The sequence below is a fragment of the Homo sapiens genome, chromosome 10, assembly GCF_000001405.40.
Source record: "Homo sapiens chromosome 10, GRCh38.p14 Primary Assembly".
Classification (NCBI taxonomy): Eukaryota; Metazoa; Chordata; class Mammalia; order Primates; family Hominidae; genus Homo; species Homo sapiens.
Window position 1 is genome coordinate 123827045 of NC_000010.11, and position 24937 is coordinate 123851981.

Below are 24937 nucleotides of genomic sequence, written 5' to 3' on the forward strand. Positions count from 1 at the left end.
TAGTCTAAAAACAAAAATCATCTTTCTTTTCAAGCATTCGTGGAGCATTCACAGAAACTCTCCCTATTTTAGGCCTCAGAAGAAACTTCCAAAACATCAAGAAATTAGAAAGTAGAGACAACATTATCTGATGCAATGAGAAATGTATTAATAAAAATTAAAAATCCAAAAACCTCCCCCAGGGGAAATGTAAATCAGTCTCTTAGACAATCTTGGACTAAATAGAAAAATCAGAAGAAGCCTCCTGAAACCATGCCTAAATGTATTCAGAACACAGAAAATGAAGGAAGATTTCATACCAAAAACCAACAAAGATTGCCCACCAAAAGTAAACCTTTACCATACTGTCATGTGTGAATAGTGATGCAAAAATCATAAATAAAATAGTAGCAAACAATATCATTTACAATTGCTCAAAAAGACAAAATACTTAGACGTAAACCTAACAAAAGGTTTACAAAAAAGCACAGAAAACGGGACTCGCATGCTGAAAACTGTAAAATTCTGATGAAAGAAAACAAAGAAGATTTAAATAAATGGAAAAATATCCCATGTTCATGGTTTGGAAGATTCAACATGGTAAAGATGCTATCTACAAATGTACACACAGCTTTACTGCAATTCCTACCAAGTTCCTAGTAAGATGTTTTTGTAGCTATAAACAAGATTATTTTAAAATTAATATAGAAAAGCAAAGGAGCAAGAATAGCTAAAACAATTTCTTAAAAGAATGAAGTGGGAAAACCAGCCTCCCCAGTTTCAAGATATTATATAGCTACAGTCATCAGGACTGTATGATAGTAAGGGTTCTGTGGAACAGAACAGAAAAATAAATCAGGGTGGGCAAGGTGGCTCACACCTGTAATCCCAACACTTGGAGAGGCCAAGGCAGGTGGATTACCTAAGCCCAGGAATTTGAGACTAGCCAGGGTAATATAGTGAGACCCTGTCTCTACAAAAAATTTTAAAAACAAAAATTAGCCAGATGTTGTGGTGCATGCCTCTAGTCCTTGCTTCTCGGGAGGCTGAGTCAGGAAGATTGCTTCAGCCTGGGAGGTTGAGGCTACAGTGAGTCATGATTGTGCCACTGCACTATAGCCTAGGTAACAGAGCAAGACCTCACCTCAAAAAAAAGAAAAAAGAAAAAAAGTTAAAGAAAGAGAAATAAAACCATACAAATATGTCCAACCGATTGTTTACAAGTGCAAAATCAATCTGATGGTGGAAGGATAGATCTTTTCAACAATTGGTACTGAAGCAATTAAGTATTTATAAGCAAAATAAACCAACTGATATGGTTTGGCTGTGTCCCCACCCAAATCTCATCTTGAAGTGTAGCTCCCACAATTCCCATGTGTCATGAGAGGGACCTGGTGGGACGTAATTGAATCATAGGGGCAGGTCTTTTCCATGCTGTTCTCATGATAGTGAATAAGCCTCATGAGATCTGATGGTTTTATAAATAGGAGTTTGCCTGCACAAGCTCTCTCTTGCCTGCCACCATGTAAGATGTTCCTTGCTCTTCCACCATGATTGTGAGGCCTCCCCAGCCATGTGGAACTGTGAGTCAATTAAACCTCTTTCCTGGTTTCTCTGGTATGTCTTTATCAGCAGCATGAAAACAAACTAATACACAAACCTTGACCTAAATCTCACCTTTTATATAAAAATTAACTCAAAATGGATAATAGCATTAAATGTAAAACATAAAACAATAAAACTTGTAGAAGATAAAAGAAAGATGTTTGAGATCTAGGGCTTGATAAAAGAAATTCTTAAACATGACACCAAAAGCACAATTCATAAAAGCAGGAAATTGAACTTGGTTGAAATTTAAAACTTTTGCTCTGCAAAGTTGATGTGAAGCCAACCTAAGAAGACAGAAAGACAAAATATTGACTGGGAGAAAATATTTACAAACCACATGTCCAACAAAAGACATATATCAAAAATCTGCTAGATGAAGAACTCTCAAGAGTGAAAACGTAAACAATGCAACTAGAACATGGACAAAAGACAGGAAGAAACATTTCACTAAAAAGGATATCTAGATGGCAAATAAGCACATAAAAACACATTCAACATCGCTAGCTATTAAAGAAATGCAAATTAAGATGGTGACGAGATATCATTACGCACCTGTCAGAATGGCTAAAATAAAAAATAGTGATAAGATTAAATGCTGGTGAGGATGCCCAGAAACTGGATCACTCAGACATTGCTGGTGGAAAGATAAAGTGAACAGTCACTCAAGGAAACAGTTTGGCAGTGTCTTACAAAACTGAATACGCAATGAACAGACAAATGTGTATAACCAACGTGGAAAAAAAATTTTTTTTTTTTTTGAGACAGAGTCTCCCTCTATTGCCTCGGCCTCCCAAAGTGCTGGGTTTATAGGCATGAGCCACTGCACCCAACCCAAACAAACAACAACAACAACAAAATTAAACACAAACAGTACCAGGAGTAAAAAGAAATATCTGAACAAATGGAAAAGTCAACATCATGTCTTTAGAGAGGAAGACACTGATCTCAGATATGCCAATTCTCCCTCAGTCCCTCAAGTTAAGGCAATCCCCTAAAAGATCAACAGAAATTTTTCATGGAGATAATTTGGACCTTATTGAAAACTTTGTATGAAAGAGAATATAGCAAGAATAGCCAGAAAAAGTCTGAAAAGATTAATAAGGAGAAAGAACTAAGTCCATGGGATAGCAAAACAATGCACACTATAATAACCACAGCCATGTAGTTCTGGCAAATAAAAACAGAACAATGTGACAGAATAAAAAACCCAAAAGTAAACCCCACAATAGACAGGAATGTAGGCTATCCTGGGGGTGGCATTTCGGTTGGAAAAAATATGGATCACATAATAATGTTGGGATTTCCTGGAAGCCATTTGAGAAAAAAAAAAAAAAAGCTTGATATGTTACATATACCCTACACCAAAATAAATTCCAGATGGTTCAAAGATGTCAATGTAAAAATTGAAATAATAAATGTACTAGAAGAAAATATAAGGAAAATTATTTATGTGTTTAGAAGGGGTAAGGGCTTTCTTACTCCTTCTAAAGTATGACATATCTTAAGAAACTGATGATATTAACCATATAGAAATTCAAAATTTTTGCACAGCAAAAGGTGCCATAAGCAAAGTGACAAGAAAGGGAATAATTGGGGAAATACGAGTAGCTCAAATCACAGTCAAAGAATAATTTGGAGGGATGCAAGGTAAGATTGAGGAGCTACCTCAATCATGCAGGTCTACCATGCTGGAGTTTCACAGCAATCACCTTGCTGGTTAGACCTTCTCCCTCCAACTCCCCAAATCCGTGCAAGCAGCCATCATCAGCTACAGCAAACACCACCAGATGTGGCAAGTGGGCAGAGTCAGTCACATAAAAGGAGCGCTAGTAGTCCCCAACCTTCATTTGTGCAAGGCACTGGCTGTTGCCCACCTCTACACACAAGTAGGGAAAGCACTATTAAATCCCTTTCTACTCAGAGCAAAGAGTCCCAGAAGCTTTCCTCGTTTTTTAGGCCAGTTCTCTGCTGGAACCATGAGGAAGCTGGCCGCCTCCTCTTCCTGTCCATCACCTCCTGACAGCTGCATTCCAACAGGTTAGCGGGCTTGAATCTTACCCATGGCCAAATTATAACTTTGGGCAGGACTGCTGATTCCAGGAGGGCTGGGCTTGCCTTTTGCAGCTGCTGGGAATAATATGCAAAAAAAAAATGAAAATGTTATCTTATGTCTACAATAAGCATGGGTGCACACAACACTTGAAACATGAGTATGCACTCATCTCTCTCTCTCTCTCTCTCTGTGTGTGTGTGTGTGTGTGTGTGTGTGTGTGTGTGTCTTTCTCTCTCTCTTTCTTTGCTGGAACTCTAATCATGTAGTTAAATGGCTCTGCCATGTTCTCAGTACAGCCAAATGTGGGACACTGTGTGAACTGTTGATTTATTGGATTTTTCACTGTGGACTGGTTACCATGGCTTTTTGAGAATTCAGACCACAGGAGGAAATGCTGTAAACTTAGAAATATTATCTATTCTCCATTACCTCCAGCAAAAATATCTATCAGGCAGAAAGCTGGCGAAATGCCACTTTGGGGGCCAAGTCACAATAAATTTGGGTACAGGGTGAAGCAGTTCCTAAACAGCCCCAGTGCAGAGAACTAAAAGTACCAAGGTACTGAAAGCCCCCAAAATCTGGAATAGTTGCTTGAGGGACTGGGAAGAGAGAAACCCAGGAAAGAACTCATAAGAATCCTAAAGAAGAGAGAGAAGTGGGTCAGCCCTGCCTCTGTCCAGTGTTGAGCAGGCACTGCCTACAGCTGGGAGCTCCAGGACCCATGACCCAGTATCGGACAGCCAGGCATAGAGGAGGCTGGTCAAGTCATTTGAGGACTTTCATGTGCCCTCGGCACTTTGCCTTTTGTGGGCACCATTAATTTACTATTGCTGACACAAACTTAGTGGTTTAAACCACAGACATTTATTCTCTTATGGTTCTGGCGGTCAGAAGTCCTAAAATCAGGGCTGCATTCCTCCTGTGGGCCCTGAAGAGAGTCCCTGTTCTTGCCTTTTCCAATGTCTGCAGGCCACCCCTGCCTTGTTGTAGGTCTCCTCCTCCATCTTCAAAGCCAACCATAGCCAAGCCCTTCTCAAGTTGCCATATCTCTGTTATTTCCTCCTGTCTCTTCTTCCATATTTAAGAACCCTAGTGATTACATTGGGCCTACCCAGATCATCCAGAAAAATCTTTTCTACCCTAAAGTCAAGCAATTAGCAGCCTTAATTTCATCTGCAAACTTAATTCTTTGCCATGTAACCAACCATATTCACAGGTTCCAAGCATTAAGATAATGACATCCTGTGGGTGGAGGCCGGGGGTGGGGGGCGTGCCAGGGGGTGGGGGTTGTGGGGGCGGGGGTGGGGTGGGGAACAGACTGGTGCAGGGCAGTGGTGTGATTATTTTGCCAACCATGGGCCCCTTCCTCCAAAAAGAAAAGTTTTAAATATATTTTATGACTATGGTGGTATAAAGATGAATATATTAACATTACATATTAGAATGTTTTCTTCAACCTACAAGTTTGGGGGTTTTCTTTTGATTTTAAAAGAAATTAAATGCTTTCATGGGCCCCTAAAGGTCATGAGGCCCCAGGAACTGCATCTCCTGCATCTGAACGGTAAGTCAGCCCTGGGGGAGCCATGCAATGGCCCCAGCCCCAACTCAGAAGCACTCAGATGAAGCACATACAAGACCAGGCCTGTGGAGGTGTCTACACTTGCACAGGCCTCACAACACAGGAGAAAGCCTTGAGCAATAGTGTTGTGGGGAGGGATGTGCACTGGACAGGGAGGAGGGGGCAGAAAGGACAGGATTTTACTATGAGGCAAAGTAGGTGCTGTGGTTGAGTGTGTGTCCCTCCAAAATTCATATGTTGGAACCAAATCTCTAATGAGATGGTATTAAGAGGTGGGGGTAGGCTGGGCACAGTGGCTCACACCTGTAACCCTAGCACTTTGGGAGGCCGAGGTGGGTGGATCACCTGAGGTCAGGAGTTCAAGACCAGTCTGACCAACATGGCGAAACCCCGTCCCTACTAAAAATAAAAAAATTAGCTGAGCATGGTGGTACACGCCTATAATACCAGCTAGTCAGGAAGCTGAGACAGGAGAATTGCTTGAACCCAGGAGGCAGAGGTTGCAGTGAGCCGAGATCGTGCCATTGCACTCTAGCCTGGGCAACAAGAGCAAAACTCTGTCTAAAAAAAAAAAGAAGTGGGTCTTTGGGGGTAGAGCAGAGCCCTCATGAATGGATTAGCGCTCTTACAAAAGAGGGTGAAGCGAGCACCTGAGCGTCTTTTGCTTTTCCATCCTTTCCGCCATGGGAGGAGGACACAGAGTTCATCCCCTCTGGAGGATGCAGCAACAAGGCGCCATCTGGGAAACAAAGAGGAGCCCTCAAAAGACATGGAACCTGCCAGCACTTCGATCTTGGACTTCCTAAACGGTGAGAAACAAACTTCAATTACGTATAAGTTTCCCAGTCTAAGGTATTTTTGTTATAGCATCATGAACAGACTAAGACAGAAGGTTAAGCCACGTTACTTGGGCTTTCTAAACCTGTTTTCTTATGCATACAATGAGAGAAGAAAGGAACCCATGTGGGCAGGGTTACAATGAACAGCATAGGAGGTAACACAGGCAAAGTGCCCAGCCGCCCTGGTGTAGGGAACCCATGTGCTTTTATTTTTAAAAAGTTCCTGCCGGCCAAATTTATGCCAACAAAATACAGATGTGTCACAGGAATGTTTTCATAAAATGTCAGATGCTACTTCTTAGCTGCAACATAATTCAGTTGCCAGGCCTTTCCTGGGTGCCCTCTGGAGGCACTGGGGGTGCTGGAGGTCCCAGCTAGGGATAAATAGGGCTTGGAGGTGCTCAGAGGTAAGATGAGGCCACCCGGTAAATGAGAGAAGCTTCAGCTTATTGTGTCTCTGCCATGTGTCCAGACCGCACTCATGGCTTTCCACAGGCATCTCAGCAACACTCAGCAAGCTGAAAGAATGAGGCATCTCCTCTTCGCACAGTCCAGGAAACTGAGGCTTGGAAGGGCAAGATGGCCACTGGCCCACCCACCTACTCAAGGCCGGTGGCAACTGCCTCCCAGTTAACGCCACTAGGACCACACAGAGCAAGTGAGAGCCATCAGAGAACCGAGGATGTGGTCCGAGCACATTTCGGCTTAGCTGGAGATAAGATAGAGGAATGGGGTAGGGGCAGTGCTGGCACGAGAATAGGACCCTCTACGAAAGGGAAGGAGACCTAAGGAAACAGCAGCAACAGCAGACCCCTTACAGGGCACTTGCTACATGCCAAGGACAATCTTAACTGCTTGATGTGAATTAACTCATTTAATCCCCACAACAACCCTATGTGGTAGCTGCTATTACATCTCCATCTTACAGATGAAGAAACTGAGGCCCGAAAGGCTCAGAAATAGGTTCAAGGATGTGCAGCTCGGTAGGTCTGGAATCCCAGTCTCACTCCAGAATCTGAGCTCTTATTCACTCTGACACCGGTGAGGACCTGGTAATCGGGGACAGAGAGCAAAGGAGCGGAGCTGCATCCCCACAGGACGTCCAGGAGCAGGTTTCCTCCCAGTGCTTTCTGCACTAAAGAGCCCCCGCTATGCTAGGTGGACTCTGGCTTGTCTCCAGAGGAGACAGTGTCAGGAGGGGCTGGTCACAGAGACCTGCCCTGTGCAGGGCTCTAATCTAGCACTGGAGATTCAAGGGCAGACAACCCTGCCTGCTCCCCAGGAGCAACGTCAGGGTAAGTACAAACAAATAGATAGGTGGTCAAATAAAGCCAAGAGAGGACATGAAGCAACTGAGGCTGGGTTTTAAAAGGTGGGCAAAGAAGGCCTCTGAGCACAAGGAGGGTTGTGCCTGCAGGCAGAGGAAATGGCAAAGTGCAAAGGCTCCAGGGCAGCAGCAGGCCTGGTGTGTTTGTGGAACAAAAAGGATGCTCCTGGGCTGGAGTGCCATGAGCGAAGGGAATGACATCAGATGGGCAGTAGGAGCCAGTCTCCATAGGCCCTTGTGGGTTGCTATAGTCTGGCTGTTTGACCTCTCCTAATGTCATGTGGAAATCTGATCCCGTGTTGGAGGTGCAGCTTAATGGGAGGTGTCTGGGTCATAGGGACAGATCCTTCGTGAATAGAGTAATGCCCTCCTTGGTGGGGGTGCAGGGGGTGCTGAGTGACTTCTTGCTCTATTAGTTTCCCCAAGCTTCCATGACAGCTGGTTGTTAAAAGAAGCCTGGCACCTTTCCCCTCTCTCTTGCCTCCCCTCTCCCCATGTGATCTCTGCACACACAAGCTCCCCTTCACCTTCCGACTTGAGTGGGAGCAGCCTGAGGCTTTCACCAGATGCAGATGCAGGCACCATGCTTCTTGCACAACTGCTGAATCATGCACCAAATAAACCTCTTTTCTTTATAAATTATCCAGCCTCAGATATTCCTCTATAGCAACACCAATGGACTAAGACATGGGTCAAGGGGTGGGGGAGTTAGTGAGCTAATCAGGGAAGGAGGCCCACAGCAAGGGGGCCTCCCCATGAAAAAACAGGCGGGAAGCAAAGGCAGAGTGTGCCCAGCAACCATCTGGGGGGTTTCCTGGGGAGTCACACCTGGGGAACAAGGACCCTCAAATAAAGCGGGGTGGAAGCTTCCAACCTAGAAAAAACTCTAAAATTGTTTCCATTTCAGAGATTTCCCCGTCTGAGAGCTCATGCCTTCATCATCAACACCCAGAAAGCCAAGAACGAGCCCCTTGTGAAAGCTTTATTTAATTTCAAATAACTATCCCTGCATTGCTGAAACTTAACATAAAATGCAGAAATGACTGCATGCCTGGCATTCTACTTGAACTTAGAGATGTTTTCATTAAAACGCTTCTATTTCATGCTAAACACTATGGTTCAGAAACTGACAGTTTTCAAAGAGGTTAGAAAGGAGTTTGGAAACTTCTCTCTCCCCAGCCCCACATAGGTGCCAAACATTTCATTTCACCCTTAAGCGAGGAGACACAGCATGACACATTCTGAAAACACACACACCCTCTCTCCTGAGAAGATGGGTGAATGATTTATAAAGTGCTGGCCTCACTTTGCATTCTGCTTCTGAGCTCCTGGCCTGGCCCCACGCCTTCTCTCTGCACTATGGCAGGCTGCTGCCATGTGGGCCCAGGTCCCTTGGGAGGAACAAGGGGACACAGAGGCCGGGACGATGCCTCAGGGGAGCAAAAAGCTGGATCCAGTGGAAGAGAAAGGGTGGACTTGCTGAATGCTTCCTACTGTGAAAATGGGAAACTCAGCCAAAGGAGGTGTTTGGGGAGGCTCGGGCTCCCCGACGCCCTGGACCAAGGTCCTCCAGCTGCTTCTGTATTTGCCTCTGCCCTTCTCACCTTCCTTTCCGCTTCTGCTAGACCCCACTGTCACTTCAGCTGCCTCCTCATCTCCTCTCCCGACCCTTGCAGGGTCCAGTGTACCCTGGAGATCCCCGCAACGGGGATGGTGCTGAGTAGCCAGTCCTCAAGCCTCAAGATTCCCAGAAATCTGCTCCTTTGGAACCTCCCCTTGGCTCCATCTCAGCCCCTTGAACCCTGACCCCAGTCATCAACTCCACTGCCCTGTGGGGTCCTCAAATAGGGCCACTGTCTTCCCCTGCCAATCCTCCATCACTTCTGAAGCCTCATCTCCCACAGCGGCTCCTGAACCTGCCCTGCACCTCCAGGTAATCAGCCCTCTAGCTTGAATTCCTGCCCCACCAGCCTTGAGTCTCACAGTCCCTCACTCCTGACACAGTTTGTGCCACCAGTGCCACAACGCCCTTGTTCCTGATCTCCTCCAGCTGCAACTGCCACCAACTCCACTGCCCCTGGTGAACATACCACCAAGCGTGCCCAAAAGAACAGTGACAATTCCACATCTCCAACACCCACAGAGCCCTCTCTGCAACTGGAGAAAGATGCTCTCTGTCCCTTATCTCAATGCAGATCTTACACTCTCTGAGTTTCCAGACCCGAATCCTGTCACATCCCCTGTCTGCAGAGGACTCCACCTCCTACTTCACCAAGAATGTGAAACCCTCTGGGGTGAAGGCTTGGAACAGCCCTGAGCACTGCTCCCCACCTTAACTATATCAGGGTATAGGAGAACTTCCTCCTTTTCAGGTGAGCCCCTGCCCCAGTTTCAGCCCCTCAGGGACCTGCCCCATTAGCCACCCCCCACCAATTTTCCCTTCACCTGGATCTTCCCCCCAGGTGAGGTCTCAGGGTAAAGGAGACCCTCCTCCTTTCCAGGTGAGCCCCTGTCCCAGAGTCAGCCCCTCAGGGACCTGCCCCATCAGCCACCCCCCACTAACTTTCCCTCCACCTGGATCTTCCGCCCAGCGGAGAAACAGCCAGATTCCCAAGAAGCAAAGAGAGAAATTCACCTTTCTTGTCCTGGTCTTCCTTCTGACGTTGGCATCTTACCCACTCCTTTCCTTCACCATCAGAATTCTCCAAAGAAAAGCTGAACGTGGAACTCCTGCTAAGACTTTCCATTGCCAACCAGAAAGCGAGCGTCTCAGGGCTCAGGGCTGAGCCTCCCCGTCCTTGTGCTCTCAGGCACAGAGCCTGGCTCACAGCAGAAGTTCCATCCATCTTCCTCTCATTAGCCTACCTCCTTCTTATAAAGTCAGCCAACCAGCTAACCTTCCTCAGCCCTCACCTCACAAACTCATTCATCAAATCGCTGCCCCACTTAAAAGACAAATGCACTGACTTCAAGATATACAGAGAATCATTTTGTCGATTAAAGAGTTAAAATTGAAAAGATTTGGTTACTTCAAACTGCCTGTATTTAGTCCAAATCATTAGAAGCATCTATTCACCTCAAGCAGAATAATTAACTTTTCAATCATCACATTGGTTATAATGGTTAGCACTCATATATCTAATATACTTTCTGTCATTAGGGAAATAAAAGACTGCTTTTCATTAGTATACTAACATTGCACAAAATTATAATGCAGTAGGGAAGGATATTTCATAATTGTGAGAAGTATAAATTATTCAATATCATTAAAACAATCTGGTTGTTTTAATGATATTAAATAATTTATATTTTTAATGATATTGGATAATTTATATTTGTATAAGTTATCGTATTACTTTCAAATAGCATGAATTATTTGGAAAACTAATAAAACTGCGGTTGTAGAACTTATCATCAACTTGGTTATGAGCTTGTGTCAGGACTGCGGTGGCTGAGCCTCGTGATTTCGCTGCTTCATCTCTCCCATTTGTCTCCCAGGTCTCACAGCAGCTCCCCTGTGCCCATTTACCATGGCATGCGCCTTGCTGAGTCTAGTAGACCCATGAAGGTATTGGACTCTTCCACTAGACTGAAAGCTCCCTGCAGGCAGGGCCATTTCTTGCTCACTTTTATATCCCTAGTGCTTATTGTAGAGTGCTTGATAACATCATAGGAATGAATTAGTAGACATCCAGAGAGCATCAGAAACAAATAAGATTATGCATGTTCATTTTAAAATTCCAACTACAGGGCAAGGCACGATGGCTCATGCCTGCAATCCCAGCACTTTGGGAGGCCGAGGCGGGAGGATTACCTGAGGTTAGGAGTTCAAGACCACCTGGCCAACATGGTGAAACCCTGTGTCGACTAAAAATACAAAAATTAGCTGGGCACAGTGATAGGTGCCTGTAATCCCAGCTACTCAAGAAGCTGAGTATCACTTGAACCTGGGAGGTGGAGGTTGCAGTGAGTCGATATCACTCCTCTGCACTCCAGCCTGGGTGACAGAGCGAGACTCCATCTAAAAAGTAAAATAAAATAAAATCCAACTATAAATGTCCTATAAAGGAAAAGTACATTTCTTAAGTGTTTATTATAACTCCAACTGCTAATCAAGTGTTTCTGTATTTCGATAGCCAGCTAGAAACCACTCTGAACAGCAACATCCATTTGGAAAAATCTACCGGGCTGGCAAGTTCCTCCCTTTCCGTTTCTAAAACATCACTAACCAAAATGCAACACGCTGTGAGACTAGGGTACGCTCTGCACGCTTAACTAGAAAACTCAAACTCTAATTCCAACTCTGCCATGGCTTGTCTTGGTGTGAATTCCACTTCTGCCTGCGACCCTGCAGAACCTGGGAAGCGGCAACAGGCACCAGGGAAGCGTGCAGGATAGTAACCTGCGCAGACCACCCTCAAGCTGTTTACTGGGCTCTTACACACAGATACTTCTACCAATTTGTCCTCCAGGGGTGTTCCTGTGAGGGAGAAGAGGGGAGGACCAGGCAGGCGACTGTCCCCAAATCCTCAGACTCATGCAAAGCAGCTTTCTCTGTCTATATTTTCTAAATATTTCCAAGAAAGATTTTATTTGAGAGAAGAATCTATACCTAAAAATAAAGCTTGAAAACCACAGTTACAGATAAACCCAAAGACGTGTGGCAGGAAGAGCCACCACTTACTCTGCACTTATTATGTGCTGGGTCATTTAAAACCTCATAATTTCATTTTACCCTCACCACGTCTTTATGAGATCGAGAGTAGTTATCCCATTTTTAGAGAACAGGAAACTGAGGGTCACAGAAGAGAAATCTCAGAACCAGCAAGGGCCTAAAGCCCTGAGCCATCCAGCTCCAGACACCTGTGGCTTCTCAATCTTCTCTTCCCAAACCCCTCCACATTCCCCCCTTACATGTATAATATAAATAAATGCTCATTCATGTATCATTATAGATCAATTAACTCATTATCATTCCATGTGAATGAGTCTTTGTCAACTCTTTACTTCATATTGATACCCGTTCATTAAAGAGTTATTTCTCGTGCATCTAATAGGTGCCTGGTCCTGGGTAAGGTCCCGGGAATAATGAGTGCCAAGACATGGATCTGCCATCAAGGGAATCACAGACTAGTGGGAAGAAATATGAAAACCAAACAACAGAAATATAAAAAAATGATACCATAGCCATCTGTACTGGGAGCAGTGTGGGGACAGGTCATGGCAAGAGAGAAAGGGAGATGACTACTGCCTTCTTTACTGTTAGTATTTAATGATACTCATTTTTGACGTTTTCTGGACATACTGAGATAGAAAAAGGCTCAGATACCAAGATGTATCCTCATCCCATTTCCTCTTCAGTCCTCGTTGGAGACAGTACTATTCCCAGAGATAAGACAAACCAAAACTCATCAGGTTTCTTTTCATTGTTCCTGGAGAATAATTTGGCTTGAAATACATTTTTTAAAAGTAACTCTTAAAGTAATTCTATCCCTTGCCTTCCCTCTGAGATGTTCCCATACTGTCTGAGCTGAGGAAAGATACTGTTCCACTGCAATTCCTTGCTTACCCCAACCCTTCTTGTGTTTCTAGCTGAAATGGAATGTGAGCTTTATACCTACCTTTCACTTATTTTCTAATACAATAATAACCCGACTACTGGGTCTCTAAGGACAGTGGCCAGACAGCTTAACATGCAAGCATTAAGGCAAAAATCCCCATGGATAATCTCAAACCAGTCTTTTGTTTTAAGTTTCCATTTTTTCTTGAGCAACCCAACTGCCCCCTTAAATTCTTGCCTTTCAGAATATCAACAGGGAAAACAATTGTCGTGGTAATAAGCTACTGCTAAAAGCAAAATGCATACCACAGAGCAAAAATCAGCATGTACATACACAAAAGTGACTGAAAAGCAAGGCAAATAAAATGTGATACACAAAATGGCATAAATGCATAATCAACTGTTGTCAAAATGCACAAATTATTTGAGCTCTGAAAATGTATTCAAAGAAAAGAATTCAAATGAAGAAAAAGTATGAAAATGTTTTCTCACAATATGATATATGATAATAGAAAATTGGGACAGTGGTGGAGGTGTGGCTGAGTAAATTACAGGCCATTAAAAATAATCATTACAAAGCCTGAGTAACAGCATGAAAAATGTTACTGGTATGTCTTTAAGTTAAAAATAAAATAACCGGATATGTAACATTATTGCAATATGGGGGGAAAAATCTGTTCGCATAAGGACCACGGAATCATGCATAATGTTTTAAAATTTTGCTGGATGTTATAATATTGTCTTTACAGTAAAAAAAAAATTCAGAGTAAAATAGATGATGAGTCACTGCCTGACAATTGTCACTGTATAAGAAAGTCCCCTTTGCAGGGACAATGACAGGTGGTTAAATGTAAGCACAGATGCCAGGTCCATCTCACTTATCCCACTTTATTTATTAATGTCGACCTTCCAGAAATTAAAATTAATCTAGTCAGCAAATTAAACTCTGATTTTATTTGATTGCCAACAAGTAATCAGTAAATATTGAAAGATGCCAAGACATGAGCTTTGAGAGTGCAGTATAGATGGGAGGGTTGGGGAGGACTGCAGACGGGAGGGATCTGAGCTCACAAAGATCACAGTTTCCTAATGTTCACGCGTGGGGCATTTGTGATCTTGGCTTCTCAATGTCGGCAGATGTTAGAAGAATTTGAAGATTTCTTGTATAAGTTCAGAAAGCACCTGAGGTCCTGCTGACCCTACTGCGCCCCTCCACAAAGCCCCCAAGCTCTGCGTGACCACCGTCCACATGGCTGGAGCCACACAACATCCCTCAGGGATGCAGCTCTACCTCCGTCTCCACAACCAGCCCTGAGCCGCCGCGGTCGACAGGGTGATTTTGTTCATGTATTTTTGCTTGCTTGTTGTAAAATAAACATAACATAAAATTTATCATTGTAACCATCTTGAACTGTACAGTTTTGTGGTATTAAGTTCATTCACATTGATTTGCAACCATCTATCTCCAGAACTTTTCATCAAGCTATACTGAACCTCTGTACCTCTTCAACATTAACTCCCAATTCCCCCTTCCTCCTAGCCCTGGCAACACCATTCTAATTTCTGCCTCTGTACATCTGACTGCTCTAGGTCATCATGGAAGTGGAATCATGCAGTGTTTGTCTTTTGTGACTGGTGTATTGCACTCAGCAGAATGTCCCCAAGCTGTACCCATGTGTAGCATGTGGCAGCATGCCTTCCTCTTTAAGGCTGAATAATATGTTTCACTGTATGCATATGTCATAAGACGGAGGGTTTTCAGGGGCTGCAGCCCATCTCTCCTGTGATTACCATCAGATCACACTTGTCACTGTCCCAGCCTTGGCCCTGAGTGAAATTCTGAGAAATGAGACCCCTTCTCATTCTCAGGCCTCAAGCTCTGTCATCCTTGACTTTCACTACTTCTCTCGTGATCCTCCATTTAGGAACCTAGATTTCCAGTCCTTCTTTCCAGGATCTGGACAATCCATGCCCTCTACCCCAGAACTGTGTACTCACTGTTTGTCCAGAGGTCCTGCCTTGGGCTGTGCCCTGGCCACCAGTCAAGACACTAATATCTCGTCCCAGAGCTGCCTAAACCGCCTGGATTTCACTGAGTCTGTGTCTACTCTGCTCTACCTGACAGGCAGATCTTTCTCTCCACTCCTGTACAGGGGGAGGGTGTCGTTCTGAAACGCACCATCCCCCCCAGGAGAATGTGTCGACAACGAGCCCAGCCTCCTGTTCATATTCCAATTTTCTCCTCTTCTACTGCCCATCACCAAACACCTCTCTGCAACTTCCAGACCTGTGTCTGTCCAGACCCTCAAAAGCTAGACCCAAAACAGGGTCCAGAAAGCATATGTCCAGGTACACTCACAGCCAGAGGGAGTTCCTCCCTTGAGTGATGACACCAGTGAATCTGGTCAGGCGCCGAGCATCCACTTCAATCCACTGCTGGAGGTCATTTCTTCCCGCGCACCACGCTCCGTCATAAAAATCATTTTCATTAATGCCCGCCTAGAAAGAAAGAAAGCGGTGTTCTTCAAAAAGACTCTTAATTGAAGAAAATTAAGACATATCTTTTCCTGAGGCTGAGAGGAAGGGAGGGAGGATAGGAGAAGAAAATGAGGAAGGTGTTAAAGAAAAAAATAATTGTGCCCTGAACTCCTCATCCTAAATCATAAAAGGGAGTTGCTTAGTATCCACAAGTTGAAAATATTTCAATATACCATGTCCTCTTTTTGCCCAGTGTGAAAGATGAAATTTAATGAGTACTCCTACTACTCATTCATCTAGCACACATAAACCATCTCCCACACAGCAGCCCACGCACACCAGGTGCTGGGGACGCAAAGGTGAATCGTTCCCTCCCAGAACCTCGCCATCTAGGCAGGAAGAAAGATGTGAAAATAGATGAATTAGAACACAGTGGGGCCGGTGCTATTTCAGGAATATGAGCAAACCGCTGCGGGAGCATTTAAGGACAGAATCACTAACTTAGTGTGGGGCTGATCATAGACAGAAAGCCCCAAGACCAGGGGATACTTGAAGTAGGTGTTGAAGGGTAAGTTTATCCAGTGAACATTTGTTTGTTAGTGTTTAAGTCATTTGATGTGTTCAGTATCAGCTGCTATTACTACCAAAAATTCTTTTTTTTTTTTTCAGAGATGGAGTCTTGGTATGTTGCCCAGGCTGGCCTCAGACTCCTGGGTTTAAATGACCCTCCCTCCTCGGCCCTCTGAATAGCTGGGACTACAAGCACACACCACCATGCCCTGCTCCAAAATTCTTTTGATCTGAATTTCCAAGATAGGTAAAGTTTTTGCTCTGGAATTTTCTCTATATTATCACCATGTGAAGAGATAATTCCCTGACTCCTCGCCTCCCAAAAAGGACATTTGAACCAAGTGAAGCATCCTCGTTTATTAACCCTATTTTTCCATGGCTATTTCACAGAGCTATTTTTTTTTTTTTTTTTTTGAGACGGAGTCTCGCTCTGTTGCCCAGGCTGGAGTGCAGTGGCGCCATCTCAGCTCACTGCAAGCTCCGCCTCCCGGGTTCACACCATTCTCCTGCAAAGCTATTTCTTATGATCAGATTAAAAAAAAAAAGTCTGAATGATAAAAATGATCAGCCAGCCCATCTTCCCTATCTCTGAGCATTTCAACTCAAATTCTGGGGACAGCCTTACTTTTAATTGGCAATGGAAATGTGAAACTAAGAGTCCAGCTATAGGCGTGAACAACTTGGCCAAAGGTTCTGCTGAGCAAAACTCTATCCATCACTGTACCAGCTAACATAAGCGTTCTATCAGGACAAAACCACAGTACAGTGTTAGACATCTGAGGCTTAGCAGAGAAGAATAGAACTGCCACATAGCCTGAGACATGTACCCTATAGAATCATGGAAACTGGAAGGAACTGTCCATCAAAGACTACTGAACAGGATTTGAAATTAAATTTAAGGCTCCTGGTTTTGCCAGCCTGAATATTTTGTTTCTGCTGCCAATCTCAGTTCTTTCTGAGCACACTGGACAGTCAATTAAATGTAGCACAGTGTCAGGGGAATGGAGAGCTCTTCCCAAAGATGACTCATTGGGAAGTGACAGCCACCTCTGCAAAATCGATTATGAATTTAAAAAGCAAGTGCCTGGGAGAATTCAGTGAAAGAGGAGGTACCAGCCCCAGAGATGTTACAAAATTATACCATCGTGCAATAAATGATATTCAGATGATGCCTCCGAGAAACCACGAGAAGAATGCATTCATCTCTTTCTCTTTAATAATGTAGGGAAATCGCTGATAAATTTTGGAGAAATTTCAACTAAAAGTTGGTGAACCAAAAGGTTTGATTCTTTAAAGGGTACACTAGTCTTGAAAACGTCACTAACGTAGAATGAATCTACTACAATACCAAAAAAAAACTGAGAATTAATGTAATTTTATAAAGGAAATTAAATTATATGCATTTTTTTTTACCTTAAAGAAAGCACACCAATGCCCCTAACAGACTCAATTTTGCTTAAGATAAATGTGGGAATTATCAAATCCAACACAAAGAGAAAACCTGATACTGTCTAAGGTCAATCTAAGAGGATTTTTCTGTTTCAAGATGATGGGATAAACACATTAGTTTTTCTGTGTTCTTCTCTCAAAAGTCAACCCCAAGCAAAGAAAGCAAGACACAGAAATACAACTTTGATCTCTGATAAAACCAAAAGACATATGAAAGCCCTAAATTACAATATATGAAGACAGAATCAGATGGAGGAATCCTGAATGACTCAGCAAGAGAAGGAAGTGCAAACGTCAAAACAGCACAATAAGAAGCAAGCCACACAGAACCTTAGAAAAGCTGAGAACCTGGGTTTCAAGATACCTTTGGGAGGTGAGGGTAAGGCAGGACTCAACAGGCAATTGCTTCAAAATGTGTATTAAAAAAACAACTAGACTGGGCACAGTGGCTCACGTCTGTAACCCTAGCTACTCAGGAGGCTGAGGCAGGAGAATCACTTGAACCGGGGGGCAGAGGCTGCAGTGAGCCAAGATTGCACCACTGCACTCTAGCCTGGGTGACAGAGCAAGACTCAGTCTCAAAAAAAAAAAAAAAAAATACAATTAATTCCCCCATATCTCCACCCCCACTCCACAGAGGACCTGAAATTTTTCTCTGAAAAGAAAGCAAACTGTAGAGACCCTGGATTGGGGATACTAGGCACAGAGGAGGCAGGGGTGCCGTGATGGATGAAAACAGTAACCTCTGGGGGCATCAGCACACTAAAGAGTGACATGTTCCAGCTCCTTCCCCCAACCAGCTATAGAACACCATGCAGTCAGGTTTATAACAAACAGAAAAAAAAAATGCAAACTATAATAGAGAACAGAAAAAAGGCTTTAAAAATCTATAATTAATATTTCTAGAAAGGTCTTGATTTCATGAAACAAGAACAGAATACTCTAAAAAAGGAAAAAGCACTGAACAATAAAGAGCTCTTGGAAATTAAAATGTGAAAGTTGAAATTTTTAAAATGTCAGCAACTTTTAAAATAGAAAGGCTTTCTATTTTTAAAACAAAAAGGCTAAAAAGATAAAGTTGAAGAAATCTCACAAAAGGAAAACAGTACACAAAAATAGACAACAGGAGAAAAATAAGAAAAGCAGAGGAAGAAATCCAGAAGAATTTTAGGGGGAAAAAAACGACCAAATAAAAACTGTACTTTCCCAGTTAAGTCTTCAAAACATGTAAGAATCTAGTACACATAATAAACTAATATACACACCATGGAATATCATTTTGAAACTTCAAAACATCAGAAATAAAGAAAAGATTCTAAAAGTTTCCAAAGAGGAAACAAGCAGTAAAAGGAACACACACAAAGAAAGAAAGAGGAATAAGAATGACATCAGAATTCTCAATAGCAGCATCTGAAGCTAGAAGAATGGAGGGATGGTGCTTTCAAAGTTCAAAAGGGAAAGATTTTTCATCCTAGAATTTTTACACTCAGCCAAACTATCAATCATGATGGCAAAATAAAGACATTTTCAGATTCACAGACTCTCAAAAAATCTATTTTTCATACACCATTTCCATGAAGCTACTGAAGCAGCAGTCCCCAAACTTTCTGGCACCAGGGACTGGTTTTTCCACCATCTGGGGGTGGGGGATGGTTTTGGGATAATTTAAGCATATTATATGTATTGTGCACTTTATTTCTATTATTATTAAATTGTAATATATAATGAAATAAAATTACACAACTTACCATAACGTAGAATCAATGGTAGCCTGAGCTCGTTTTCCTGCAACTAGACATTTTCATCTGGAGGTGATGGGAGACAGTGACAGATCATCAGGCATTAGATTCTCATAAGGAGCGCACAACCCAGATCCCCTATATGCACAGTTCACAGTAGGGTTTGCGCTCCTTTGAGCATCTAATACCACTGCTGATCTTACAGGAGGTGGAGTTCAGGCCGTAATTTGAGCAATGGGGAGTGGCTGTAAAAACAGGTGAAGCTTTGCTCTCTGGCCTGCCACTCACTTCTTGCTGTGAAAGCCCCGTTCCTAACCGGCCATAGATTGGTACTGGTCTGTGGACGGGGGACTTGGGGACCCTGTACTAGAGGATGCACTCCAAAAAAATGAGGCAGAACACTACAGAGAGGAATATATCAGACCCAGAAATCAAGGGTTCCAACATAGCAGAGAATTATCAGAATGATGGTGAAGAAGACCCAAGACAGTAGACATGTAGGAGACCCAGAGAGTAGCCCATTCAGAATGCAGCAGGTGAAATGGCTTCTGAAAGAGTATCTAACAGAAACGTAAAACACAAAGCAGGACTAAAAACCACTGAACAGATGTGGCTGCATAAAAAATGATATTGAAGGTTTTTTTTGTTTGTTTGTTTTTTCAGATCCAGACCTATTGCAGGGTGTGGGGAGAATATGTTCTTAAAAATACAAGCAGGCCCAGGAAAACAAAAGGTTGTTAAGAAATGATATGAAGTAAATATTTCCTGACTCAAAATTAAAGTATTTCTTGGCTCAGTAAGTAGGAAGCAAAATTTTCAGTCATAATAATGAAAACCTTAGATACAGATTTACCCAAAAATTGAGCTACAATTTTATTGGAAAGATGGAAGAGAGGAAAGGGGTGATAAAAATGGGTGATAGCCTCATCTTCCAGAATAGGGATCTAAAACATCAAGTCTACATCTATAAATTGATACAGATCAATATGTGCATATTATTTAGAAGTGAAGATTTCAGGCCAGGTGCGGTGGCTCACGCCTGTAATCCCAGCACTTTGGGAGGCCAAGGTGGGTGGATCACTTGAAGTCAGGAGTTCTAGACTAGCCTGGCCAACACGGTGAAACCTTGTCTCTACCAAAAATATAGAACATTTGCCGAGTGTGGTGGTACAGGCCTGTAATCTCAGCCACTCAGGAGGCTGAGGCAGGAGAATTGCTTGAACCTGAGAGGCGGAGGTTGCAGTGAGCCGAGATGGCACCACTGCACTCTAGCCTGGGCAACAGGGCGAGACTCTGTCTCAAAAAAAAAAGAAAAAGAATTGAAGATTTCAATTCCCAAAGAGACAATTAAAAAGAGTTTCCAGTAGCTGTGCCATCCACAGTGCTTGATGGTAGTCAGGGGCCGGGTGGAATGTGAAGTGTGTTTGTTTGTTATAAAATTGATTAAAACAAGTTTTAAAAAGCAATTTTAAAAAGTAAAAGGAAAGGGATACATAGATATAGAGGGTGACTGATACAATGTCTACTGTTGATTCTTTCATTTTTCAGGTATCTACAGAGCATTGACTACGTGCTAGGTATTATGCAAAGGGCTTTGATTTCTGAGAGATAGAGACAACAGTGAATATCAAAATCATTCTGCGGCAGTGAGTCACTGATCTGCACTGTACATATTTCATAATCATGGGCTGCCTCTACACAGAAACATCTGGAAGCAAATAAAAAGTCATATCCAAGTGAATGTAACTATTTAGTGACTCCAGGATAATTGACTTACAGCTGCCTCTCTGCAGACGTATCCCAGGGCTATTTGGAGAGAAACAGGATAAAGTGATAGTTATTTTAAAATATTTTTGAGAAAAAAATTTAGAAGCAATAGCTGAAACTATAGATTATCAGCAAGTTAATGCCTTTTCAGGGGGAGGTTATCTAAAAAACGTTAGCTGTGACATTTGATTAGTAAAGTAAGTAATCTGCCATAAAATGGCCATCATGTGGTCTGAATGTCTGCCTTCAATAAACCTCTGTAATAAACCACTGCTATAAACCCATAAAACTTTCCAGGTGCAATCTGCTGATCCTTCTGCAAATTGGCAATGCACCTTGTCCCAATTCCAACCTTAATCATCGGTAAAGTAGGCTGTACAAAAACACTGTATTCATTGTTTTTGAAGCAACTTTTAAAACCAAAACCAATTTCTTAACTATTTCCTTGCATTGGCCAAGGAAACTAGTAAACATCCACGGTTTAAAATTAAAAATATTTAAAAATAAATTCTATTCAACACACCATAAACCATTTATTAACTATTTAAAAGAAGAAAAGATGAAGAAATATACTAACTGAAAAAGAAACAGGCAAATGTTTTCACATCAACATTCTAATTCAATTTAACTCCAATCTGGGAAATGCTTTAGCCATTAACATTGTATATCTATGGAACAAGTTTAATTCTTAAGCAATTATTAATTCATTTATGAGTGACCCAATAAAGATTGTGTGTATCCTCCTATGCACTCCAAGAAGGCAGCACAGCTCAGAATCGCCTTCAGAAATGCATGCAGGTCAAGTGCAAGTCCTCATTCTACAGCTCATTATTTAAATACCCCCAGTTAGGTCAGTTGATCTATAAAATGAGGATAGAAATAAAATATGTGATAATACCATTGTCACAGTTACAAGTATTTTGTATGGTGCCTGGCACAGAAAAGACAGTCAATACATGGAAGCCACTGGGGGTACAAGTATGATTCCCTTTATGTTTAGTATGTGCCTGCTGTGACCTGTGATTAAATTTGCTTTATGGTACAATTTCAGTTTTGTTCTATTAATAGTAAGTTAGGTCCATTTAGCCCATTGACAGATGTTCTTTGTCTGAATGAATCATCCGTGTTTCTTAGATATTCTATTTTTATTGCTTCCTGTGGCTTTGTTTTATTTTTATCTATTGATCGGTTTTGTGTTTTTTGTGTTTTTTGCTTTAAGTGCATACCTCTGAAAATGCTAATGAGCTGTACCTTTGTTTTAGTGGTTGATTTAGTAACTAAGTCTTACGTAACATACTTAATTCTGTATTTTCTTAGAAAGTACCCATTAACTCCCTACTATAGGCAGTGATGAAATCATTATTTCTACTTCCTGCTGCCTCTCCTCCTTCCCCTTTATCCCCTTTATCACCTAATTTCATTTATTATATTCTTAACGTTCACTCTTTTTTTTTTTTTTTTTTTTGAGATGGAGTTTCGCTCTTGTTGCCCAGGCTGGAGTGCAATGGCACAATCTCAGCTCACTGCAACCTCTGCCTCCTGGATTCATTAGCTGGGATTACAGGCACCTGCCACCACATCTGGCTAATTTTTGTATTTTTAGTACAGACAAGGTTTACCATGTTGGTCAGGCTGGTCTCGATCTCCTGACCTCAGGTGATCCGCCTGCTTCAACCTCCCAAAGTGCTGGGATTACAGGTGTGAGCCACCGTGCCCGGCCTTACATTCACTTTTAAAAGGCTAAATCAAATATACCTCTCTTCTTTAGTTGAGCAGCTTCTTTGTAAAGTTTTCATTAATTTTATAATAGATACAGAAAAGTGTGCAAATCCTAAGTGTGCAGCTCAACCAATTTTGACAAACTGCATGTACCCACATAACCACATCCAGACCAAGATGTAGACCATGAGCACCATGTCAGAAGCTCCCTGTGCCCCTTCCCAGACATTAACTTCCCGCAGACATAACCACCACTCTGACTTCTATCTCCTCAGGTTGGTTTTCTTATTTTCAAACTTTATATAAATGAAACCTACTGTAACTACTCTTTTTGTCTGGCTTCTTCTGCTCAATATTTATTATATCTGGGAGATTCACCCAGACAATTGCATGCAGTAGTAATTTAGTCCTTTTAACTGTCATATAGTATTTCACTGTAGTACATAAAAAATGACATGATATATCTGGACTATTTCCATTTGGGGGTTATAAATAATGCTGCTATGAACATACCTATGTATGTCTTCTTGTGCACATGTGAGCACATTTCCATTTAGGAATGAGAGTGAATCTGTTAGGTCAATGTGCATGAGAATGTTCAACTTTAATAAATACAATAGTCCCCCGTTATCTGTGGTTTCTCTTTCCATGGTTTCAGTTATCTGAAGTCAACCACAGTCTGAAAATATTAAATGGGAAATTCCAGAAATAACCAATTTATAAACTGCATGCCATTCTGGGTAGGGTGACAAAAATCTCACACCGTTTCTCACCATCCAACGTTGATGTGAATCCTCCCTTTGTCTGGCGATCCACACTGTCTACTTTAGCCGCCCAGTAGTCACTTAGCAGCCATCTTGGTTATCAAAGAGCTGGTATTGCGGTGCTTGTGTTGAAGTAATCTTTTACTTAATAATGGCCCCACAATGCAAGGGTATTGATATTGGTAATTCAGATATGCCCAGGAGACAAGTAAAATGCTTCCTTTAAGTGAAAAGATGAAAGGTCTCAACTTAATTTTAAAAAGAAAGAAAATCGTATGCTGACGCTGCTAAGATCTACGGTAAGAATGAATTTTCTACCTGTGAAATTGTGGTGAAAGAAAAAGAAATCCACGCTTAGCATCTAAGAGCATTTGGTACTATCCACACTTTCATGCATTCATCGGGGTCTTCGAATATATCCCCCAGATAAAGACAGACTATTATACTGCCAAACAGGTTTCCAAGTGGCTGTGCTACTTTACATTCCCAGCATTTTATGAACGCTTCCATTGCCCTACATCTTTGTCCACACTTGATATTATCCTTTTTTCAAAGCCATTCTGGTGTCTGTGCATCCTGTCTCATTGCGGCTTTCATTTGTATTTACTTGACGACTAATGGTGGAAAGCTCTTTTTCTCATGGCCATTGGCCATGACATTGCTCCATAACCACAGTGTAGCTCCAGTCACACTGGCTTTGCCTAAGTCCTTCCAATAGACCATGTTCCCCACCACCACAGGGCCTTTGCACATACTCTTCTCTTTGACCTGGAATGCTCTTCTCTCCCTCTGCCTACCCTTTGTCCAATAAACTCTCAACTTATAATCCTTCTTCATTTATTAGCCCAAGTACTCACTCCATCCTCAGGAAAGTCCTCCAAGCTCCAGCCTGAGGCAGATATATTGGGCATACAGAACCACAGTATTGAATTGTGTTCCCCCTCTCCAAAATAGGCTCATGCCCTAACTCTTGGAATCTCAGAATGTGACCTTATTTAGAAATAGGGCTGGTGACCAGGCACGGTGGCTCATGCCTGTAATCCCAGCACTTTGGGAGGCCAAGGCGGGCGGATCACAAGATCAGGAGATCCAGACCATTCTGGCTAACACAGTGAAACCCCAGCTCTACTAAAAATACAAAAAATTAGCCGGGCATGGTGGCACGCACCTGTAATCCCAGCTCCTCGGGAGGCTGAGGCAGGGGAATCGCTTGAACCCGGGAGATGGAGGTTGCAGTGAGCCAAGATCACGCCACTACACTCCAGCCTGGGTGACAGAACGAGACATCATCTCAAAAAAAAAAAAAAAAAGGGGGCTGGGACAGATGCACTTAGTTAAGATGCAGTCAGCTTAGAGCAGGATGGGCATATCCAGCATGACTGTGTCTTTAAACAAGGGGATATCTGAACACAGAGACACACAGGCAGAGGACAGATGATGTAGAGGCTCACTGGAAGAAGCCTGAGGTACCAGGGAGGCAGAGACTGGGGTGATGCATCTACCAGC

The 24937-nt window shown here is 42.7% G+C and overlaps 1 protein-coding gene across 6 annotated transcripts in view; it reads right to left on the reverse strand.

The window, feature by feature from the left end:
• The window catches only part of CPXM2 (carboxypeptidase X, M14 family member 2), a 198466-nt gene that overhangs the window by 81406 nt on the left and 92123 nt on the right, over positions 1-24937 (reverse strand). For all 6 annotated transcript variants that reach the window (XM_017015673.2, NM_198148.3, XM_011539285.3 and 3 more), the window contains one exon: positions 15305-15444. In XM_017015673.2, coding sequence (XP_016871162.1) covers positions 15305-15444 — 140 coding nt within the window. The remainder of the gene's footprint in view (positions 1-15304; positions 15445-24937) is intronic.